Genomic DNA, 23,882 nt, shown 5'->3' on the forward strand with positions numbered 1-23,882 from the left:
TTTCCTTCCAGGATTGGGTACATAGGACTCTACTGATGGCAAGAAGTCAGATGTCTCTTCCAGAAGTTGATGTTAGCATAATGCCAGGTGCATTAGTCAGAGTTTTCCAGAGAAACAAAACCAATATTTTATACACACACACACACACACACACATATGTATATGTGTGTATATATTGATATACATATGAGAGAGATAATTTATGTTTATTTACATGCACATACATTTATATAAGTCACATGTATGCAAATCATATAAATATATGCAAACATATATTTGCATGTTTACATAGAGAGGAGAGAGAGAGACATTGATTTATTATAAAATTTTAAGGATTTAGGTCATACCAACAACTGTTAGGATTGTCAGGTCTTAAATCTGTAGGGCAGGCCAGTAGGCTGGAGAGCTAGGAAAGGTTGATGTTGCAATCTCAAGTCTGGAGGCAGTCTGGAGTGAGAATTCTTTTCTTTTCAGAGGACCTCAATCTTTTCCTTTAAAACCTTCAACTGATTGCATGAGGCTGACCCTCACTGTAGAAGACAATCTGCTTTACTCAATGTCTACTTGTTTAAATGTTAATCACCTTTAAAAAAATACCTTCACAACGACATCTAGACAAATGTTTGACTGAACACAACCTGGCTCAGTAGCCTAGTCAAGTGGCATAAAAAATTAACCATCTTACCAGGCGAGGATAGATCGGTGTCCCATCCTGAAGGGGCTGTCCTTTTCACACAGGCATTTATTTATTTATTTATTTATTTATTTATTTATTTATTTACTGAGACGGAGTCTTGCTCAGTCACCCAGGCTGGAGTGCAATGGCACGATCTCAGCTCATTGCAAGCTCCGCCTTCTGGGTTCACGCCATTCTCCTGCCTCAGCCTCCCGAGTAGCTGGGACTACAGGTGCCCGGCTAATTGTTTGTATTTTTAGTAGAGACGGGGTTTCACCCTGGTCTCTATCTCCTGACCTCGTGATCTGCCTGCCTCAGCCTCCCAAAGTGCTGGGATTAGAGGCGTGAGCCACCGAGCCCCGCCTTCACACAGGCTTTTAGAATACAAGCATCACTCTTCCTGATCAGCCTTCAGATAATATGGGGTGTAGGGACGGTGGAAGTTTCCTAGCTTCATATTCACAGTCTCATCTGTGGTAGAGATGGAGGTGCTGCCCCACTCTCCTGCTTTTTGTCTCCTTCTCACATGTCTGGCAGAGAAGTCAGGTAGTTCTCTTTCCTTGAGAGAGGCTGGGTGGGGCCATGTCTGTCCATATGTGCCACAGATCATGGGAAAGAGTCCAAAGGCTAATGACATGGATGCATTGGATTCTATCCCCTGTGGCCCAATTAGCTTAGTTCTGTCCCAAGGCCATCAGTGTTGGCAGGGTGCAGAGAAACTTTGGCAAAATTCGCTCCTCTCATCCTTCTTTTTTTCTCCTTTGGCTATTTAGGGCACTTTCGTGGCTGCCAGACTAAAGATTAATGGAGCACAACTCCAAAGGGTGCCAACAGGAAGCAACTATACCCCCAAACATGTCATCACCCCCTGCCTATTTCAACCTGTCCTGGAGCTAGTTTAATGTGCCAGCTCCCATGGTTTTTCCAGTCATTCTGCGGTAGAAGGAGACCGCAGTAGGTATTTTCCCAATTTCTTCGTTTGGCACATCTTCTCCTTATCTTTGCCTGTTGTTGTGTTTGACTCCTTCTAGGTTTGTAGCTTCAGGTGGGTAAGAGACAGGAAAGGGCTTACTTATGGGAACTGTATGGATTTGGCTTTGGTGGTCTCTGGGCTTGGCAGATAAGCCAAGCTAAGTCAATTTTAGACATTAATTATTTACTTGCTACTAATGCAGTTGAGGATTTAATGCTCATGTATTACTACCAACTCTCCATCCCCCATTTCTCACAGTTAAATTAGATCTTTGATTAAATCAATAGCCATGTTTATCTAATATTGTTTATGCTGGGTCAAGTAGTTTACTATAATTTTTCATTGCTTTTTCTTTCTTCTTTTTTAAAAATCATCCTCCACTCCCAGCCACACCTTGAGTTAAAAATTACCTATTCTAAAATTTTCTATTATTATCAATCACATTTTTCTTCTTAAATGTTCCAACAGACCTATCAAACTTCTATCAATAATTTTTACAGACACTCAAATTCATTTATAAATCAATGTTTCAGTTTTTAATTTTTCCCCTAGGGACCTTCCTGTCATAGCCCTCCTTCTCCTATTCCACTTGCAATTAGCTTCCCTCTGTGCCTGCTGCACAGTTGACGTTATGGGACTCCTTTCACCATCATCCCAACAATTTCTCTCATTTCCTGCTTCTTAGCATGTAAGATATCTCCCTCCTGATTTCCTCCCTTGTTTTACTGGAAAACATCCTCCAACAGAGTCCCTCTGACTTACCTTATACAGTATAAACATCAGTTCTACTTCAATCTTTTTTTTTTTAATTATTTGCCTGGACATAGCATTTTAGGTTGAAATTACCTCAAATTCTGAAAGTATTTCACACTGTTTTGTCTTATGGCATTCAGAGTTGCTAATAAGAAGTCAGATGCCAATCTAATTTCCAATCCAATAGTTCCCAAGAATTATTGTCTGGAAACTTTTAGGATCTCCTTTATTTGCCTGATGTTCTTAAATTTTACAGTGATGTTCTTGGGTGGTGATGTTTTCATTCATTTATTGGGCTGTTTGTGTGCTTTTTAATCTGGATACTCAATACTACAGTCTTAGGATATTTTCCTCATATTATTTCTTTGGCAATTTGGTCCATTATATTTTCTCTGTTCTCTCTGAAACTCCTATTATTTGTACCTTTAATGTTCTGAATTAATCTTCTAGTTGTCTTATCTTTTTATCCCCTGTTTTCTCTTTATCTCTTGATTTTACTTCTGGAAGTTTCTTTATTGGATAATAAGTATTCACTTTTCTAGTGAATATTATGTTTTGGCTGTGATTTTTTTTATTTTCAAGAGCTCTTGTTCTCTGAATATTCCTTTTCAAATACAATATCCTGCTTTTTAAATGAGCACAATATTTTTCTTATTTCTCTGAAATATAAATATATTTTTCTTTGAGTTGGAGTCTCCCTCTGTCATCCAGGCTGGAGTGCAGTGGTGCAATCTCGGCTCATTTCAGCCTCCGCCTCCCAGGTTCTAGCAATTCTCCTGCCTCATCCTCCTGAGTGTCTGGGATTACAGGCACCCGCCACCATGCCCAGCTAATTTTTTTGTGTTTTTGGTAGAGATGGGGTTTCACCATGTTGCCCAGTCTGGTCTTGAACTCCTGACCTCAAGCGATCCAACCACCGTGGCCTCCCAAAGTGCTGGGATTACAGGAATGAGCCACTACACCTGGCTTCTCTGAGATATTAATAATAGTTTGAGGTATTTTTCTGCTCCTTGCTTCACGTATATATTTTTTACTTCAGGCTGCAGATTGAGTGAAGGTCTTTTCCATGTGAATTTGTCCTGCATCTGGGATAAAGGTATAATGATTACCTAAAGCATGTTCTGTTCATGGAAGATCACTGGAACACAAAAGACCAAGCTCACAGCATATTCAAGACATCTGCTCGTATTCCACTGGCCAAAGAAAGTGATGTGGCCCAGCCTAAAGTCAGGTAGGCAAAGAATTAGTATCTCCCCTGAGGCAGCTGAACAAATGATAACACACACACATGCATGTGCAGACACACACATATGTACAATTCATAAAGCATATATATATATCTATGAGCTTCAGCTTTAAGGATTGAATGTGTTTTGTTTGGCAGATTTGGGCCATAAGTATTGCTCATATGGTTTGTAAAAGGACCAGAGAGAGTAACACTTTCTGCATTTTAATTTTCATGGTGACAACAGTAAAGGTTATTCTTTATCAAAGTTTGAGATATGATGCGATTAGACCCCCACCTTCTTATTGTTTATCAAGAATCCCATGACTCCATTTACCTTCAGAAAACAATTTCTTTTAAGTTGGATTCTGATCTACTGTTACATCGTTGTGTTCATTGAATTTATGAAAAGAATCATTTCCATTACTTGAGCAGTATGATTTTCCTTCAACAAACATAAATTGAAGCCAATGAACACACTCGTTTATGGGAAGAAACCCTACAAGTGCTATTGTAGGTGGGATTGGTGGGTGAATACCAAGCCAGATGCCTGCCTCTGGAGGTCTCATTGGAACGCCTGGCTCTTCTTACTAGTGGAAATATGTCTAGTGGTCTCATCCTTTTCTCAGATGTCTGTTAACTTCACTAAACCACTGCATGTTTTGGCATAGTGTGTTAGCTTCTAGGGAGAGGCCTCCAGAATGGTATAGGATATATTCTGTAGGATGGGAATGAGGTGTGTGTGGTAGCATTCATAGTATCTATCTACATCAATTTTTTAGAAAACAGAATAGGTGATCTCACACCCTTTAATTTTATAAACTCTTGATTAAAACAGGGCATCCTGTCTCACCTTGGAATAAAGATCCAAAATTAGATGATATTCATTTTGAACTCTACCTAAGAGGCATGAAACTTACAAAAAGATGTCCTCAACACTTCTCAGTTGACAGAGACTGTTTTGTATTCATGTGGTTTATGTCTGTTTGTACAGTAATTAGGCTTTGATCTTTTGGGGTGAAGCTGCAGGCACACAAACACACATAGATACATGCACACACAGTCCCACACTGTGGGATAAAGGAACATACCAGAGTTTATGAGCATCGGGATTTAATTCTGGGAAATCTTGTCTTTTGGCATCTGCCAATATATCCTCTGGAATTTATTATGTGCCCGCAATATCTCTCCAACCAACCATTCTTCCCTATATCCACAGTCACTAGCTTAATATCAGCCCTTGTCATCTCACACCTGTATTATAAAAATAGCTTAGTCCCTTGTCTCTCTGGCTCCAATTGTCCCTAATTTCAACCCACACCTTTGGATGATGGAATTAGACTCTAAGACATTATTCTTATCATGTCACCTCCTTCTCCACCTCTGCTAAAGAACTCAATCATATATCCATGGAAAATAAATTGTTGTCCATGTATCATATTTCCAGATCCTTGGGGCAGGGGAAGGCGATCCAAGCATATCTGATCTCTCTCTCTCTCTGTCACACACACACACACACACACACACCCCTATGTAAAGAACTTGAAAATAACTTTAAGATTGTAAGGTATTCTTTGCTAACTTTCCTAAAACAGTTGCTTCAAAACCTAACTAATAAGCTAGGAAACTTTAAAAAATATGTAGACTCCTGTTAGAATCCAGGATAGTGGCTATCCTTTCTGCTGTTAATGTTCTATGGCGCTATTTTTGGATCTGGGTGCTGGATGCACGGGAATATTCCTCTTTCATTTATTTTACATTAATTTCTTTACTTTTCCTGAAACACTTCAAAATGTTCTTGTTTCTGTTGACTTATTCAAGATGTACTTACTGTGATCGTTGTAGATTGCTTCCGAATACACCCTTTGTAGCTCTATTCTTATGCACAGTGGACCCTAGATTCATTTTTAACAAATGGAATTATTTTGTCTTTTTTCTCCACCTCTTAGTGAATGGATGAGGAAAGGAAGGCATGGAAAGTGGACTGGCATGGCTATGAGTTAGAAGCAGTCAGAGTTCAGTTCAGAAACCTCTGAATTCAAGGCCAAGGCTCTGGGGACGAGGTTTTCCCCCAACATCAGTAAGCTTTGGAAACTTTTTAAAAAGTGGAAGAAAAAGTGATACCTAATACAGTGCTGTCCACATGATATGCAACCAATACATATTCAATAAATGAGTAAATATGAAAGAACAAATTTAAATGATGTCAACATATTATCTCCAACAGTTAAGAATCTTACACTTAGTTCCCTGCATAAAGCTTCCTGCATAGTCTTCAGTTTTGTTAACTAAAAGGTGTGACCTGATAATATTATTGGTTCAAGTGATAACTGCTTTGTACCAACTAACTGGTTTTTCAACAGATTTGTTATTACTGTGCATAAGTGTTGGAAACAGTTTGTTCATAGGAGTCTGTTTTTTTTTTCTGGAGTCTTAGGAAAGTGGCTGGTTTTACTCTGAAACATCATAACTTTGCAATCAGGAACCAGGTACAAAATGAGTAACTGTTAGCGAAAACAACCAGAAGCCACATTTTTAGCTATCTCTGTCATGTAGCTACAAATAAGAAATACCATTCCACCAACTTTGTGTCAGGTGCCTTTTTATATAATATGAAGAGTACTGTTTAAGTTCAGGGGAGAGCTAAATACTGGGGTCCCTGTTATGAAGGAACTCAAGAAGCCTTGATGAATGTATAGTGAATGATGAGTAACATGTTGGTCTAAGGTAGCCAGAGACAAGAAAGACCATCTCTGCCTGGAAAGGGCAGGCCAGCTTCATGGGGAAGATGATACTTGAAATGGATCTTGAAGGATGGTGATGCATTTAATGGGGTGCTTGGAACAAAAACAAAGGCAAGGATGTGAAAACATGCAGGGTGATTTTGGTGGAGAGTTTTGCTGGAGAAAAGCACTCAAATGGGGTCGTCAAGGTAGATAAACCTGATAAGGGAGTTAGTTTGCAGATTGTTGCGGGCGTGAAGTGCTAGGCCAAAAGTTAGGAAGTTCTTGAAGTGTCTAGGTGTGAAACAATGACGGTCTGAATGAAGATGTAGCCATGAAAATCAAAAAACATTTATTCATTTTAGAGGCATTGATTTCTACAAATTTCACTGAATTGGTAATTCCAACGTAGGAGGCAAGGGAGATAAAGTATCAAAGATGACTAGATGCTGAGGCTGGGTAACCAGTGCAATCAAGATGCCATTAACAAAAAACCCTTGTTTTTTTTGTTTGTTTTCTTGTTTTTTTTTTGTTTGTTTGTTTGTTTTTTTTACGGTCACAGTTCTAGGAATAGTAATCTATATTTGCTGTCATCTCTTTCATCTCAAATCACTTTTGATCCATTGGCATCTGTCTTGTGTCTATCTCATTGACACTTATCCAAGTCACCAATGACTTCCAACATGCCAAGTTTAATGGGGTGTTTCCATTTTTAAGTATTGATCTCTTTGCTGTATGAGCACTATTCACCATTCCCTTCAGGAAGCCCTCTGTCCCACTGGTTTTTATAACTCATTTTTCAGCATGAAAAACATTTTTTAAAGAGCAGAAAATTTGCACAGGAATCAGAGGTCTTCTTCAGCACAATAACAGAATGAAGCATAGAGCGCAATACCCATGATGTGAATTGTTTTTTGCCTAAGGCATTACTGCAAAGAAGTCTTTGCTCTTTTGTTTCTTTACATGAAAAATGAGGATGGCAAGTATAATCCTGATTTCACAGATATGACAATGTCTAATTAATGAATTGCCCTAAACAGGGAACAGAATGTATGAGGTGCTAAATAATATTGTGCAAGTAGAGATTAAATTTGACCAAGTGATTTATTAGACAAGTCTAACAAGTGATATCATCGGCTCAAGGGAGCAGAATTGGATTGCTTTATAAGATCACTGGAACTTTGAGTGATTGAGTTGTGGATATTTGTTGTTGTTTTAACTGCAGGGATCCAGAGTAACTTTTAGGCTTTCAAACTTTGGAATGTGACATTTATTAGGCCTGTAACTCCATCAAAAGTATTTAAAGCTCTTAAATTATTGTGGTTAAAAGAGTGAAAGTAAATAGATGTTCCCCTCTGTTGGTTTCATTATGCTGCAATTTTGTACACAGATTTGATGCTTAGGCACCACCCATGTTTATTACTGTATCATATTTTCTCATTTTGCAAGTTAAAACACAACTTTTTCATCTGCAGCCACATTAAACTCCACTTGGGACTTCAGGCCCAGCTGCAGTCTTTCTGTTTTCCGTTACCATCAAAAGCAATAAAATTCTGCAGTCAAGGCAGGTTTGGGGATGCTTGTGTTGCACCCAAACTGGCAGAAAGTCCAGCTCCTGCACTTGTACTCTCTCTCTATCTCTGCAGCAACATGGATGGAACCGAAGGTCATTGTCCTAGGTGAAATAACTGAGAAACAGAAAGTCAAAACCTACATGTCCTCATTTATAAGTGGGAGCTAAACAATGGGTGCATATGGACAGAGAGATTGGGATGATAGACACTGGAGACTCCAAGAGGAGAATGGAAGGGGGAAGAGAAATAAAATACTACCTATTGGGTACAACGTACACAACTCGGGTGATGGATACACTAAAAGCCCAGATTGCACCACTATGCGATATATCCTGTAACACAATTGCATTTGTACTCCTATATTTAAAAAAAAAAGTAAAGAGAGACATACTAGTCAGAAGAGATATACTTATGTTTGGTCACTCTAATAAATAAACAACCCCAGGAGCCACTTAGCAGTGGGAAGGCCAAACAGGGAGTCAATTTTAAGAACTATTTGCGAAATATCCTTCCTCTAACAAATAAACGGACTTCAATCTTCAGGATTGGATATAAGGGTTTCCAATTATTTTAAGGTAGGCATTATAACCTCAGGACAAAATGTATCTGCAAATTTCCCAATTTTTCAAATAAATGTAAGCCTCTTGGAAAGTTTTTGTTGTTCTTTATTTTTTTTTCTGGTAAATGTGAAAAAAAGTCAGATAAAATGCACCCGAAATCAGCACACAGGGCAGAGGTTGAGGAATGCTGCTGGAGAAAACCTCTGCAATCAACTGAGAACTGAGGGATGGCAGTGCGATATAGAACGGTGCCTTATTGAAATTTATTCTGTGGGTCACAGTACTTTTCAGCTTTTTCTTTCATTTTAGCTGATTAGACACAAGTTTAGTACACCTGTGGCCCCTATTCTTGTGATACTGGAGTGCTTCAATACCAGCGCCTGTCAGTACTTATCATTTAATTATGCTGATCTTTCAGGGTTGTTAGGATAGGTCAAAACATATGTTAAAGACTGGGCACGGTGGCTCATGCCTGTAATCCTAGTACTTTGGGAGGCTGAGACAGCTGGATCACCAGGAGTCAGGAGTTTGAGACCAGCCTGGCCAACATGGTGAGACTCCCATCTCTACTAAAAATACAAAAAAATTTTAGCTGGGTCATAGTGGTGTGTGCCTGTAGTCCTTGTTACTTGGGAGGCTGAAGTGGGAGAATTGCTTGAACCTAGGAGGTGGAGGTTGCAGTGAGCTGAGACTGGGCAAGAGAGCGAGACTCTAACTCATTAAAAAAAAAAAGTTAAATTCGTAATACAGTGAATGGTACTCAGAAGGTGCTTAATTAATGGTAGCTTTTGTTCTACCATCTTCAAGATTTATCAGAATAAAACATTTAATATAAAACTTCCAGGGAAAGTTGCAATACTTTTCTTAAATAAAATAGTTGTAGTACTACCTTTAGAATTTTTAGAAAGTCACAGTTTTTAAAAAACAACCCATTAGAATGTATGCATCTACTGGGGAGCATGAGCCACATGAACTCAAATTATTAATCCTGCTTGTGAGTCCATTTGACTAGAGCTGAGTCTTCTAATGGAAAAGCAATTCAGTAATCACTCTTTGGGATTCAGTAAATACCTCATAAATACTTATAAAACATGTAACAGACCCTACTGGGCATTGGGATTGGCATTAAGGTTTATTATTTGATTGTGTTTGAAATCAGAAAAAGCTAAGATTGTGCTACTTATTTTTTATTCAGAGAAGAAATTAACTGGTGACTGGAGCTGATTGACTAGAATGGAGCAACCCACTGGATGTTTATATTAGTCACATAGCAAATATTTTTTCTGAGTAATTAACAAGGATTACTTTATAGTTGAAAACAATTACGGAGCAATTTGTAATTTTCCAAGAGCTTTTCCAATCCTGGTCTTATTGATTCTTTATAACGATTCTATAAATTGTAGGTTATACTGTCTTGTGTATAAATTGTAGGTTATTCTGTCTTCTGAAGATAACCTAGGCTTTAGAGTCAGACAGTACTAGGGAAGAACCAGAGCTTCAACCCCTGTTGGTTATGTGACCTGGAACAGATTACTAAACTGTCCTAAGCTTTAGCTATTTCCATACATAAATTAAGATAATAATATTTACCCTGTATAACCATTATAGAAATTAGTTTATGATAAACTTAGCATTATGTTGGACACACTGCACGTGTTTAAATTGTCATCCATAGGGCTTACCTTTGACTTTTTTTTAATAGTGAGGATAGATTATACTAATCATTCAATTCCCTATTATCAAATTCTCTTGTGACACTACAAGATTACTGGCATGCCTGTAGATGTACTCTAGCCATGCAACAGAACATAGAATATTAAACCTCAAACCTTAAAATTTAGTAGACTACTCTGACCAGTTGACATAAAGAATGTGCTTATATTAATGAAATGACACTAATTTCACCACCATACAATCCTAAATGAACTAAAATCATAGGTGTACACTGGTCAATGGTTTATATCCAAGGAATGAAAATGTAAATTTTATTTCAATATTATTTACAAGTATTCAATTAAATGATTGAAATTATGAACTAATTACATTTCTACTGATGCAGTTTCAGCCACAGAGTTATCTGTGTCAATCACAGAAATAAAACCTGTGTATAGAACTAATAAAGCATCCAGAATTTTTTCACTACTCTCTTCAATTTGAACTCCAGTTTATTACCTGAATAAGAAATGAATCAAAGTATCTTAACTTTTTTTGATGATTTAGATAAATTTTTCTATTTTCATATGGTACAGATATCACAAATATATATTACATATATCAAACACATATATGTAACACATATATATCACATATATATCAGACACATATATAGCATATGTATAACACACATATATATGCCATGTATATATACATACACACACACACAACATATATATATATAAAACACATAGCATCAGGGGTGGGCTGGCGCTGCCTCATACGAGCTTGGCAGAGCCAATTCTGCTCATCTCCTTCCTAGTCTGTGTTCAGCGACATTGCACTGGGAGCTTGAAATCAGCCACAGGGGAGTGTATACACCCAGGAGTCACCAAATGTTACAAATCAGGCCTTTTTAAAATCCAGAGTCACCTTACAAGTACAACACAGCATAGCAGACATTTTTAAAATATTTGTTATATGAACAAGTGAATTAATAAATTCAACATATTTGTATTGTCATTAAGCATAGCAAACATTAGAGGAAGATGACCTCACTTACTAAAACTTCCAAGGCATGTGTCTGTAAAGCAAAAATGTGAGTTCTCTGAGGCAAATTTCAGAAATTATCAGAGTCTAATTTCTTCATGTTTTTGTCTAAATAAGTGGATGAAACCACGCTCCCTTCAAACTTAGGTATCCAGGAAAGCAAACCTAAAATGTTTATGGATCCAAACCAACGGCTTACATGATATTCTCTACATATATATCTGTGATTGTATAAAGTTTCTCCCCATAGGGAACAAGAAAAGAACTGCAGATATTTATCACCTTTTCTAGATTCTTAAGAGTCCTAAAATGTTATCTCAGAGAATGCTAGAGTAACATAAACTTTTTTTTTGTGAAAAATAAGTAAATCACTGCCATATGATGATGGTTACTCAATTTCCAGATGATTTAATGGCTAATCCCAGGGCAATATCTTACTAGTTTCGACCCCTGCTGTGTGATGAGGTTTTGACAGTCATAATTGTACAGCAGGCCATAGTTTAATATAAGTAATTATAAACCAGGAATTATTAATCATTATCTAATAATCTGATACTAAACTATTGGATGTTGCTTGTGAAATAACAAGAAAATTCAAAGTGATTATATCAAGTGATTCTATGATACTTCTAGACAGCAAAATAAAAATAAAAGAAGAGGTTCAAGCCTTGTTAAGGTTTTAGCATCACAATCAGACAGCACCTATAAAATAAGTCAACTATGCCATGGTCCCAGTAGCCAGTAAAGTTCGTTGGGACCAACTTCCTTCCTCTTCAGCTCATGCCTCTTGGAACACATGGGGCAGCTGTGTGCACCTCAGATGGAGCAGCCAAAAAGAGCTCAGAGCTTTGGTCCTGACTTTGCAGCCCAAGTGAGATCATGGGTAAGTCACTTAAACTCTTTGGCCTTATTTTAACAACTCAGGATCATTGACCCTCTCCAATTTATGTCAAGGACAATAACAATAATAATCATCGTTCCCACTAATTTAAGGATGTGAAAAAATGCAGGATGATTTTGGTGGAGAGTTTTGCTGGAGAAAAGCACTCAAATGGGGTCGTCAAGGTAGGTAAACCTGACAAGGGAGTTAGTTTGCAGATTGTTGCAGGCGTGAAGTGCTAGGCCAAAAGTTAGGAAGTTCTCGAAGTGTCTAGGTGTGAAACAATGATGGTCTGAATGAAGATGTAGCCATGAAAATCAAAAAAACATTTATTCATTTTAGAGGCATTGATTTCTACAAATTTCATTGAATTGGTAATTCCAACATAGGAGGCAAGGGAGATAAAGTATCAAAGATGACTAGATGCTGAGGCTGGGTAACCAGTGCAATCAAGATGCCATTAACAAAAAACCCTTGTTTTTTTTTTGTTTGTTTGTTTTTTTGTTGTCGTTTTTTGTTTTTTGTTTTTTTTTTTTACAGTCACAGTTCTAGGAATAGTAATCTATATTTGCTGTCATCTCTTTCATCTCAAATCACTTTTGATCCATTGGCATCTGTCCTGTGTCTATCTCATTGACACTTATCCAAGTCACCAATGACTTCCAACATGCCAAGTTTAATGGGGTGTTTCCATTTTTAAGTATTGATCTCTTTGCTGTATGAGCACTATTCACCATCCCCTTCAGGAAGCCCTCTGTCCCACTGGTTTTTATAATTCATTTTTCAGTATGAAAAACATTTTTAAAAGAGCAGAAAATTTGCATAGGAATCAGAGGTCTTCAGCACAATAACAGAATGAAGCACAGAGCGCAATACCCATGATGTGAATTGTTTATTTTAGAAAATATGTTTAGAATGGAAAAATTTAAAGAAGCAGAATAAAAGAATCAATTATAATCTCACCATGCAGAAGTAGTTCTGCTTTTTTTTTTTTTGAGACGGAGTCTCGCTCTGTCGCCCAGGCTGTAGTGCAGTGGCGCAATCTCGGCTCACTGCAAGCTGCGCACCCCGGGTTCACGCCATTCTCCTGCCTCAGCCTCCCGAGTAGTTGGGACTGCAGGGGCCCGCCACCACGCCCGGCCAAGTTTTTGTATTCTTAGTAGAGACAGGGTTTCACCCTGTTAGCCAGGATGGTCTCCAGCTCCTGACCTCGTGATCCGTCTGCCTCGGCCTCCCAAAGTGCTGGGATTACAGGGGTGAGCCACCGCGCCCAGCCAGTTCTACATTTTTGGCTTGTTCCTTTTTGTATTCTTTTAGGCATTTAAACAAATTGTTAAACTCATATTGTTATGGATTTTGCTGCTTGAATTTTTTTCAGTGAACATCATGTCAAAAGTATTTCTTCATGTAATACAAATTCTTTGTTTCTCCTTCAATTAGGTACATAACATTCATCTTCTTTTCAAGCCATCATTTTTCTAAACATCCTACAATTTTAGACCTCTAAGTGCTTTTTCATATTTTCATTTTATTATACATAATACTGCGGGAGATAATCTTTGTCTACAAATCTTTGGTTATATGTTTGATTATTTCCTTAGGAGAAATTCCTGACGTCAGAGGTGTGAACGGTTGAAGGACTTTAGAAACATAGTCGAATTGTTTTGTAGTGAGGTGCTCCAGTCTCGCCCTTTAGCAGTGAGGGTGTAACTTCATGTCAACTTTTCAACCCTCAAGGATGATAATTTTTTAGACTCTACTCATTTGATAGGCAAAAGGTGCTGTATAATACTAATTTGCCTTTAGAGTACTAGCGAGGTTAAACATTTTGTACACTTATTAGTCATTTGCATCTCTGAATTATCTGCTACATCCTTTGCCTAGTTTTCTACTTAATTCTTAGAGTTTTAAAATTGGTTTGATTGAATTCTGTATATAGTGAGAGTATATAACTTTGTCTCCCGTATGTGATACAATTATTTTTCCCATCTTACTATGTTTATATTGGTTGGCATGTCTTGTGATATACGGAAATTAAAATATTAAAAATCATCTTGGCCGGGAGCGGTGGCTCACGCCTGTAATCCCAGCACTTTGGGAGGCTAAGGCAGGTGGATCACGAGGTCAGGAGATCGAGACCATCCTGGCTAACACGGTGAAACCCCGTCTCTACTAAAAATACAAAAAATTAGCTGGGCGTGGTGGTGGGCACCTGTAGTCCTAGCTACTCTGGAGGCTGAGGCAGGAGAATAGTGTGAACCTGGGAGGCGGAAATTGCAGCGAGCTGAGATCGCGCCACTGCCCTCCAGCCTGGGAGACAGAGTGAGACTCTGTCTCAAAAAAAAAAAACAAAAAAAAAAAACAAAAAAAAACCTACTTTATTTATATTTTTCCTTTGTAATTTCTTCCACTGAATTTGAGCTTAGTAAGTTCTTCTACATTCAGACAGATCAGATAAATATTGACCTATATTTTCTTTTGAGTTTTTGACTTTAATTTTTTAAAATATTTTAACTCTTTATTCTATCTGATCTTTAAGTGTATAAGTATAATTGAAAGCTATAAATTATTTTCATTAATATCTAAAAATATTATCCTAAGACAAATTGTAGAAAAATGCTTCTATCTTCCATTAATTTGTGATGCTCCAATTTATAAATATTTAATATTCATCTATACCAAGGACTGTTACTGAAACTTTGATTTTGTTCCATCTTTTCGTGTAGCCTTGTGTCAGTACCATCCTTATTTAACTGTTATAGACTTATTTTAATAGCTTCTATTGCTATTTGCCCCATTATTACCCCCATTTAAAAATTAGGTGGCCTACCTTTTTCCAGGTGACTTTAAAATCACTTAAAAAAATAAATTAGCAAAAGCTTTCTATTGGGATTTTATCACTTTTTAATTTTGGTTATAAGCTTATATATTAATTTAGGAAGAATCATCACAGTAAATAACTTTAAAATAAATGACAGCAAAGTGGTTTACCTTACAAATCAATACAAAATGCAAATGAAAAGTTGAGGTGTTGCAGGAGCACAGAGTATTGTAGAAAGGCATCAGCAAACTGAACTTGGGTCAAGTTCACTTATATAGACATATTTATTAGCTGCAAAGTCTTGGGGAAGTATCTTAAGGTTTGTGGATGTATTCCCTCATCTGTAAAATAAGAATAATTCCTTCCCTGCTTACCTTATAAACTTGTTGTAAGGATCAAAGAAAAGTGGATTATCAATGCTTTTTAAAACATTAAAACATGTATTTTTAAAAGTTAGATTATTTTGATTCCTGTAAAGATAAAAATTTCCCATATGTGGACACACCAGTATCTGAAAACTACAACTGATTTTCATTTCCTTCATCTGGGAAACTTATAAACTGTGCTCACTATCCATCTAGTTCTTTAAAAAATCAAATTGCTCAATTTTTTCCTTTCCCATTGCAGATATAGTTCATTTATAAAGACCAAAACTTTTTAATACCAAAAAGAATGCCTTAGTATTTTATAAGCAGGAGGCTTGTCAAGCAAATTGCTCTTGGCAGGGAAACAGATCATGTATCTTGAGCTTATCTACCTCCTTTAGATTACATCCAGCCCTGATCACCCCCGGGTACACACAGAGCTATGGCAGACCACGCTGCACTGCCTGGGTTGGGGCTGCCTTGCCCAAGGCATTTGAAGAGAGCTCACACTCCCCAGTCTGTGGTTTAGGAAGCTCAGCTTCTTCCCCTGGAGCAATGACTTTCTGCTGTCATTTTCAAACTGCCTACTACTGTTTATTTGGAATCTAAACATCTGAGAAGCTTAAAAGACCCAATTTGTTGAGGGTACAGGCTGCACTCCCATTTTATGTGCACTAGACACATGACAAGTAAACATGTTGATAGCAAGATTTATTAAAATGTGACTTTTGCAATGTAATCTAGGGCCAGGAAAACTTAGTTCAATCTCCAATGGCATTGTTTATGATGGAATTTTAGATCTGAGCGAGACTGAACTATCACTAGTTAAACCCTTTGTTTTGCAAATGAGCAGCCAGATTCAGAGAGATGGTGACCTCTCCATGCCATGTGGCAGTCAGTGGCATAGCTGGGAGCAGAAGAGAGTCTAGCTTTTTAAGTTCTCTCCCCACTGCTCAGACACTGGACCCTCCTGAATATAATACCAATGCAGTGCGAAGTTTTAATGACCTGGCCCCCCAGGAAAAGTTATAGCCATGACTGAATAGCCTGAAAATACCTGGCTCACGAGGTCATCAAACTCAGTTCTCTAGATATCTAAAAGAAGTGGAAACAAAAAAATCATATTTGCACCTTGAAGAGTCTCTTTTGGGGTATTGGATATCTGTTTAACTTATAGGAAAATATTTCATAGGAATAAATGTTTTTACTCAGGCTTATGATGGAAAATACCAGATCTGATTATAATGTAGGTTTCAAAAATACGAATGCCCAGATTTGATCATCTCTGCAAACTGTCTGATCAGTTATACAGATTGGCTATTATCAAAATTGGAAACAGAAGATTTTCCTGCCAAAATCTCTTTGTCTGACTTTCTGGAATCTTCTCAATCTGCCCCTACTTGATTTAGCAGCTTCAAATTTCCATGCACCCCTAACAGGAGCTCTGCTTTTAGTGGACTTAATTGAAATTTTTTTTTTTTTTGAGAATAAAATACCTAGGAATCCAACTTACAAGGGATGTGAAGGACCTCTTCAAAGAGAACTACAAACCGCTGCTCAACAAAATAAAAGAAGATACAAACAAATGGAAGAACATTCCATGCTCATGGATAGGAAGAATCAATATTGTGAAAATGGCCATACTGCCCAAGGTAATTTATAGATTCGATGCCATCCCCATCAAGCTACCAATGACTTTCTTCACAGAATTGGAAAAAAACTACTTTAAAGTTCATATGGAACCAAAAAAGAGCGTGCATTGCCAAGACAATCCTAAGCCAAAAGAACAAAGCTGGAGGCATCACGCTACCTGACTTCAAACTATACTACAAGGCTGCAGTAACCAAAACAGCATGGTACTGGTACCAAAACAGAGATATAGATCAATGGAACAGAACGGAGCCCTCAGAAATACTACCACACATCTACAACCATCTGATCTTTGACAAACCTGACAGAAACAAGCAATGGGGAAAGGATTCCCTATTTAATAAATGGTGCTGGGAAAACTGGCTAGCCATATGTAGAAAGCTGAAACTGGATCCCTTCCTTACACCTTATACAAAAATTAATTCAAGGTGGATTAAAGACTTACATGTTAGACCTAAAACCATAAAAACTCTAGAAGAAAACCTAGGCAATACCATTCAGGACATAGGCACAGGCAGGGACTTTATGACTAAAACACCAAAAGCAATGGCAACAGAAGCCAAAATTGACAAATGTGATCTAATTAAACTAAAGAGCTTCTGCACAGCAAAAGAAACTACTATCAGAGTGAACAGGCATCCTACAGAATGGGAGAAAATTTTTACAATCTACCCATCTCACAAAGGGCTAATATCCAGAATCTACAAAGAACTTAAAAATTTTTTTTTTTTTTTCAAACAGAGTTTCACTCTGTCACCAGGCTGGAGTGCAGTGGCACGATTTTGGCTCACTGCAACTTCCACTTCCCAGATTCAAGCAATTCTCCTGCCTCAGCCTCCCGAGTAGCTGGGACTACAGGTGCCCACCACCACGCCCAGGTAAATTTTTTGTATTTTTAGTAGAGACAGGGTTTCACCATATTAGCCAGGATGGTCTCAATCTCCTGACCTTGTGATCCACCTGCCTTGACCGCCCAAAGTGCTGGGATTACAGGCATGAGCCACCACGCCTGGCCTAATTCAAACTTTTAAAAGTCTTCTAAACTTTGTTAATTTTGATCTCCACATCTTTTTGTTCATCTTGTTCCTGCCTTTGGAATATTCACTGCCTTCTCACAGATGTCTTAACTTGCTGTGATCTTTCCTGTTTTTTTGTTTTTTTTTTTTTTTTGAGATGGAGTCTTGCTCTTGTCACCCAGGCTGGAGTGCAATGGCATAATCTTGGCTCACTGTGCAACCTCCACCTCCTGGATTCAGGCGATTCTCCTGCCTCAGCCTCCTGAGTAGCTGGGACTACAGGCACCCACCACTGCGCCCGGGTAGTTTTTTGTATTTTTAGTAGAGACAGGGTTTCACCATGTTAGCCAGGATGGTCTCAATCTTCTGACCTCATGATCTACCTGCCTTGGCCGCCCAAAATGCTGGGATTACAGGCGTGAGCCACCGTCCCCGGCCCTTCCTGGTTCTTAACTCCCAAGGCCCTCATGCCCACGTCCATGTCACCTTGATTCTTGTATCATCTGGCCTTGTCTCCCCAACTAAGCCTGGAAGGGTAGGGAATGCAAGACTTTGCCCATAAGTGTCCTCAGGACCACTAGATTATAGTAAAGGACATGAATACATTGAGAAGAAAAAATTCACTTGAGCGTGGGGGAGAGAATCAAATTGAGAAGCTGCTTCTATTTCTTATTCCAGACCTTGTCTAGTTGACGTGACTCTCACTGTATTGACTCTTGAATTCTCATTACCACCAGTGAAATGACAGCCCCTGGGGTGTTCTCCTTTCCCCAGTTTCTCTGGCTTTATTTCATGGCCTCTTTCCTCTGAATAACTTTGTTTCTCTTTGAGTTATAGCAATAATTATTTTGCTTCTCATATATGTATTTTCCCCTTAAATTGTCTTAGGTATTTATTTTCAAGATCTGTAAAGACTATTGTAAGAATAAAAAATTAGGCAGACAGGCTGACTTGAGTAAAAAAGTTTGCCAGAGGCAAACTAAAAATGCCTCTTCTCTGAGCTTATAATTCCCAATGACATATCTCTATCATAATCAGTCATCTTGTATTATTATGGTGATCTGTGCCTCTGTTTCTTTCTTCTATTAGTCTGTGAACTTGGCTTTATCTATTTTTATGTTCTGAGTACCTAATATAGTCTCTGGTGCGTAGTAAAGCCACAATGAATGTGTGTAGAACATTAAAAAAAATTAAGATTTCTTTAAATAACTGTTTGGTAATAAGTGAGAAGACTTTTTTTCCTGTAATTTTTCTTCGATTTTTTTTTCTTTAGTAACAGAAAAAATGTTGATCTAGGCAACTCAGGCAACAAAGTGATGTCCTCTTCCCCACCCCACAACCTCCAAGTGTCCCTTCAATATTACCTCAACTTGTTGTTTGCTTTGTCTGTGGGATTGTGAGCATTTGTCCTTTCTATTTAAGGTTATGTGTGATGATTTTCTTCTATGAAAAAAAAAAAGCTTCTCGCAAGAAATGGTTTGCTGAAGCTGGTGAAATGGACTGGTTTTGTTGACAAATAGTCTTGGTCTGAATTGCTGACATTTCTCAGCCTTTTGCTGGGTTGCACAACATTGTGCAACTTTATGTGGAAATAAATGAGTTTATTAGCAATGAGTTGTGTGTTTGTGGCTGTGTCTGTGTGCAATAATAAACATCTTTTGTGGGTACTTACAGCAATAATGACACCGCTCTTTTTTCAGTTCACCATTTACCATAAACTATGCCATTATTCATTTCAGTGGGGGCATGTAACCTCAAAGAATGTTATGAGGGTAGCTCGTTGAAACAGAGGAATAGACAGTAGGCTCTGAGTAATCCTCTACTGGCAGGGCGGTGTGATAGCTGAGCAGATGGCTTTTTCTATGTTGGTGGTCTGTCATACCTCTACTTTAAACCATTCACTTTGAGCACAGCTCTACCACAGTGGGCCTGGGAGTTTTCAGTGACTAAAACCAGCGGAATGTTTTCTGGAGTTGGCCCTAGTCTCTTGCAAGGTCAGCCTATGCCTCGGGGATGTGCTTCTTGAGAGATTTGAGCTGCCCTCACAGAGCACACAATCTAAGATAACCAAACAAGCTACCAGAGACGCTCAACTCCACAAATAGGAGGAACCCAGAAACAAGCTTGTAACCAAATAGTGTTGGGCTCAAGGATGGCCCGAATGATTGGGCCATGTGGGATTAGGGTTAGCATGGAAATCCTTGAGGGAGATAGTCCTGAGCTAGTGAATGAAAGGACTAGAAGTTATGGTCAACAGAAAAGAGTACACAGAGTGTTCTCCTTGGCCTGGGGAGGGTCATAGAGGAAGTTAAGGAGGAAGGAGGAATGAGTTGTGGGAAATGGAAGGGAAATGAAACCATGAGATAAGCAGCCCAGCTAAAATTCCCTCAGGGAAAAAAGTATTACAAGCTCTCTGAATCATCAAACAGTTTTAAGTAAGATGGTAAAAACGAAGCAGAATCCATGCTCAGTGCAGCAGACATTGATTGAGCATCTGCCATAGGCAAGGCACTGGGTTACATGTTGGCTAACGAGGGTGAGTAAGAAGTGGTCCTTCTGGGAAGGGCCTCGGTCTAGTCAGAGACAACTGTGAATGGATCATTTCAATGCACTGTGATAAGCACTGGGCTAGAGGCACGCACAGGGCAATATGGAAGCACAGAGCTCAGGGCCCAACATGGCCTTGAGGAGCGCGACAGGTCTAGGGGACTATAGGGAGTTCAGGTGAGACATAAAGGAGGTCTTAAAATAAAAACTTCAGCAGCATTAAATTTAAAGCAGTTTAATTGAGCAATGAACAATTCGCAAATCTGGCAACCCCCAGAATCACAGCAGATTCAGAGAGACTCCAGCACAGCCACGTGGTGGAAGAAGATTTATAGACAGAAAAAGGGAAGTGACATGCAGAAATCAGAAGTGAGGTACAGAAACAACTGGATTGGTTACAGCTCAGCGTTTGGCTTATTTGAACACAGTTTGAACACTCTACAGTGTTTGAGTGGTTGACATGGCTGCTGGGATTGGCCAAGACCCAACCACTGTTACAGGCACACACTCCCAAGTTACGTTCTCAATCTTGTCTACCTATTAAGTTGGTTGCAGTTTGTCCCCAAGGACTCAAATATAGAAATACAGAGTCCTTCTCTGGCCACATTTAGTTTGCTTTAACAGAAACAACATGATGTTTGCTGAAACTGTTAGTGTGTCTGAACTGGTGGTTCATCGGGTTTGAGTTGAGGTGAGTGAACGGCAGGAAATGTGACTGAGAAGACAGTCAGGGGCTGTGTTTTCACCATGGGAGCTTATCCTGTGTGGAATGGGAGCCTGTGAAAAGTCCAAGAAGGGGATCAGCATGATGGAATTTTGGAAGAATCCATCTGGTAATAGTGTGAGAAAAGGTAGAGTGAGAGCTGTGGCTGTTATCGGTTGAGTAACTGTTCAAGTTCGAGGTGCTGAGGATTTGCCTGAGGCAGAGGAGGGGTGGGTCCTGAAAGCATTTTTTGTTTAGATGAGAGAGGAAGGAGGCTAGGTTAACCATAAAACCCTCGGCTTTGATGGCTGAGCGAATGGCACTGCTTCCAACTCACCTGGGGTTTGACAGGATGGGTTTGAGGGGCCTCTGTGCCATCTCTTCTACAGAGGACTGGATGGGAGTCTACTTCCTTCCACTCACCAGTGGTTTGAATTGTCAGAGGACTGATGGCCTCAGCTCTGGTCCTGGCTCCTTCCTTTCCGGGTAATCCCGCCACCACAGGTGGGCGTTTCACTTATTACTCCTTTCTCACCTGCCTGTGGTGAAAGCGATGCCTGCCCTAGAGGATGCTGGGAGGAGTAATGCAGAGGTGGCTGTGAAAGGCCACACAATACTCGGGTCCTGATGAGCAGCATCACTTCTGTGATGGCTGTCATTTTCTCTGTTCAGCCGTTTTCAAGAGTGTTAAGAAATAGCGGGGCTCTGTCCCAAGATTCCCCTTTCTTTGTAAAGCCTAAGAAAGCAGATGCTCCGGATAAGCAGAGAAAACTCAGCATTTCTGAGGGTTTGTGGGTTTGAGTCAACATTATGCTATCACCTTTTAGTGCACTTAATAATTAAGCTTACAGTAGGTAGCAGACAATGGCATCGAGCTGGGTGTGGCTTCAGAGCCAGCCGAGTCCTTTCTTGAAGCTCTACAAAAGCCTCTATGATATTTCTCCCCACCTTGGAAATTTTTAAATAGTTTAAACATTTAAGCAGATTTTAATGTTTTTTATTTAAAAAATGGAAGGAATAAAAAGGCCACAGTAGAATCTTCAGGAAAGACAGTGGTTGCAGTTCTGTACATGTGAAAGTCAAAAAGTGGCTAAGAAAAAGATGCTCCGCCTGCCACTACTAAAAAGAAAAAACGTTTGCCATAAGCCACCATGACTCAGAGTTCACAGATGGGAAGAAACAGATAAATTAGAGCAAAGTTCCTGAAAATGTTCTGTGACTGATACTGCTTCCTGTAAGTGACTGGAAAGAGCTAGTGCTGATTTGAGTAGACATTGGTTCTTCTAGAAGAGCCAGAAGGTTTCACATGGATTTTTTTAATGTTGGAAAAACCAGGCAGGAGAACAAAAAAAGGAGAAAAATTCTTTCCCCCCTTCTTTTAATATCGTTTTCAGTAGCACAATGCATTTAAAGTAAGGCACAGTTTCCTCAGAGTAATATGGCCTCAGGACATGATTTAGATGGAAAATTTAAGTAAGATTAATGCAATTTATTATCCAACAGGATATCCCTACAAGCCACACTATTTGGCTGAATTTTAGATTCCCAATCTAATATTTCAGATGAGATTTCCAGATGGGTGTCTTATTCCTCTATTAGTTTAGTCAGGGTGATATAGAGTTTGTAAAACAGGAGAGGTTAAACTAGTTTTAACACTTGATTAATCATTGAAATTACTTTGTTACTGTTTGAATTCACTGACTTTTGTTTATTAAGTAACTCCCTAAGACCCAAAGCCAACACAAACTAGAGGCACCTTTCCAGCTTTGCTAATTTATTTGATGACTTCTTCAAAGGAAATTTTTTAAAAAGTAGTAAATTTATGGTTACATTGAAAGGCTGCTCAATGCTTGCCCTTTGCCTTGCTAAAAAGTAAAGTGTGGGTTTATAAGACTGGGGGAAAATGTACACACACACACGTGTACACGCACACACACACACACACACACCCCATATTCCAATTTCCTGGAACATTACGGGGCAGATAAATCTTTAAAACAAATTGGATAAATAATTATCAGAACCTTTGCCACTTCTATCAAGAAACAGACAGATAATATAGAAACCGTCTGAGGTGACAAACCACACATATATTCTGCCATTTTATAATCTGCTAGCAGGTCTATTAAGGGAGGTAGATTCTAGTGCACCTGGCAAGGCTGCTTTGAATGATGGGATGAGCTGAGTGAAAGGGCCATAGACAGCAAGACTCAGTGCTTAGCGTGGAGTGAAGGGGGAGGAGGGCTGATTCCAATATGGGACAAAGCTCCAAACCAGAAATTTTTTTTGGGATATGAAAATTTCCTGAAGTCTGGGTTTGTTAAATTGATTACAATCTCTTTTCAGAGACCTATCAGGAGCAAACTAGTGAGTTGCAGACATAAATTTGAATTCCAGAGTCTCCTACTAACCCAACTCATAAATGAATTCCTAAATGCTGACTGAGCCAGAAGACCCAGCATTGGAAAACCACTTGGCAGGAATCATTAGTTTCAAAATGAGATGAACTGCTCTATTTAGCCCTCATTCAAAACTTTACAGAAATGCCAGATTTCCATAAACACAGGTTTCCTTGAATTTCCAGGGCTCTGATTAACTGGTGGATGAGGGTGCCTCACAAATACAGATTTGTATGCAATATTCAGCTTGGAGGAGATTGGAGGTTGGAAACCAACACAAAGTATTCCTTCTCCTTTCTAATGTTAACTCTTCC

The 23,882-nt window shown here is 38.8% G+C and overlaps 1 long non-coding RNA gene across 3 annotated transcripts in view; it reads left to right on the plus strand.

Moving 5' to 3' along the window:
- The window catches only part of LOC101929750 (uncharacterized), a 60,750-nt gene that overhangs the window by 31,267 nt on the left and 5,601 nt on the right, over positions 1-23,882 (plus strand). For 2 of the 3 annotated variants that reach the window (XR_001738478.2, XR_001738479.2), the window contains exon 5: positions 3,442-3,633. This is a non-coding gene — a long non-coding RNA (uncharacterized LOC101929750). Of the gene's footprint in view, positions 1-1,449; positions 1,635-3,441; positions 3,634-11,964; positions 12,071-23,882 lie in introns of all 3 variants that reach the window. The other variant, XR_001738477.2, reaches the window with a different exon arrangement.

The sequence above is a fragment of the Homo sapiens genome, chromosome 1 (assembly GCF_000001405.40).
Source record: "Homo sapiens chromosome 1, GRCh38.p14 Primary Assembly".
Classification (NCBI taxonomy): domain Eukaryota; kingdom Metazoa; phylum Chordata; class Mammalia; order Primates; family Hominidae; genus Homo; species Homo sapiens.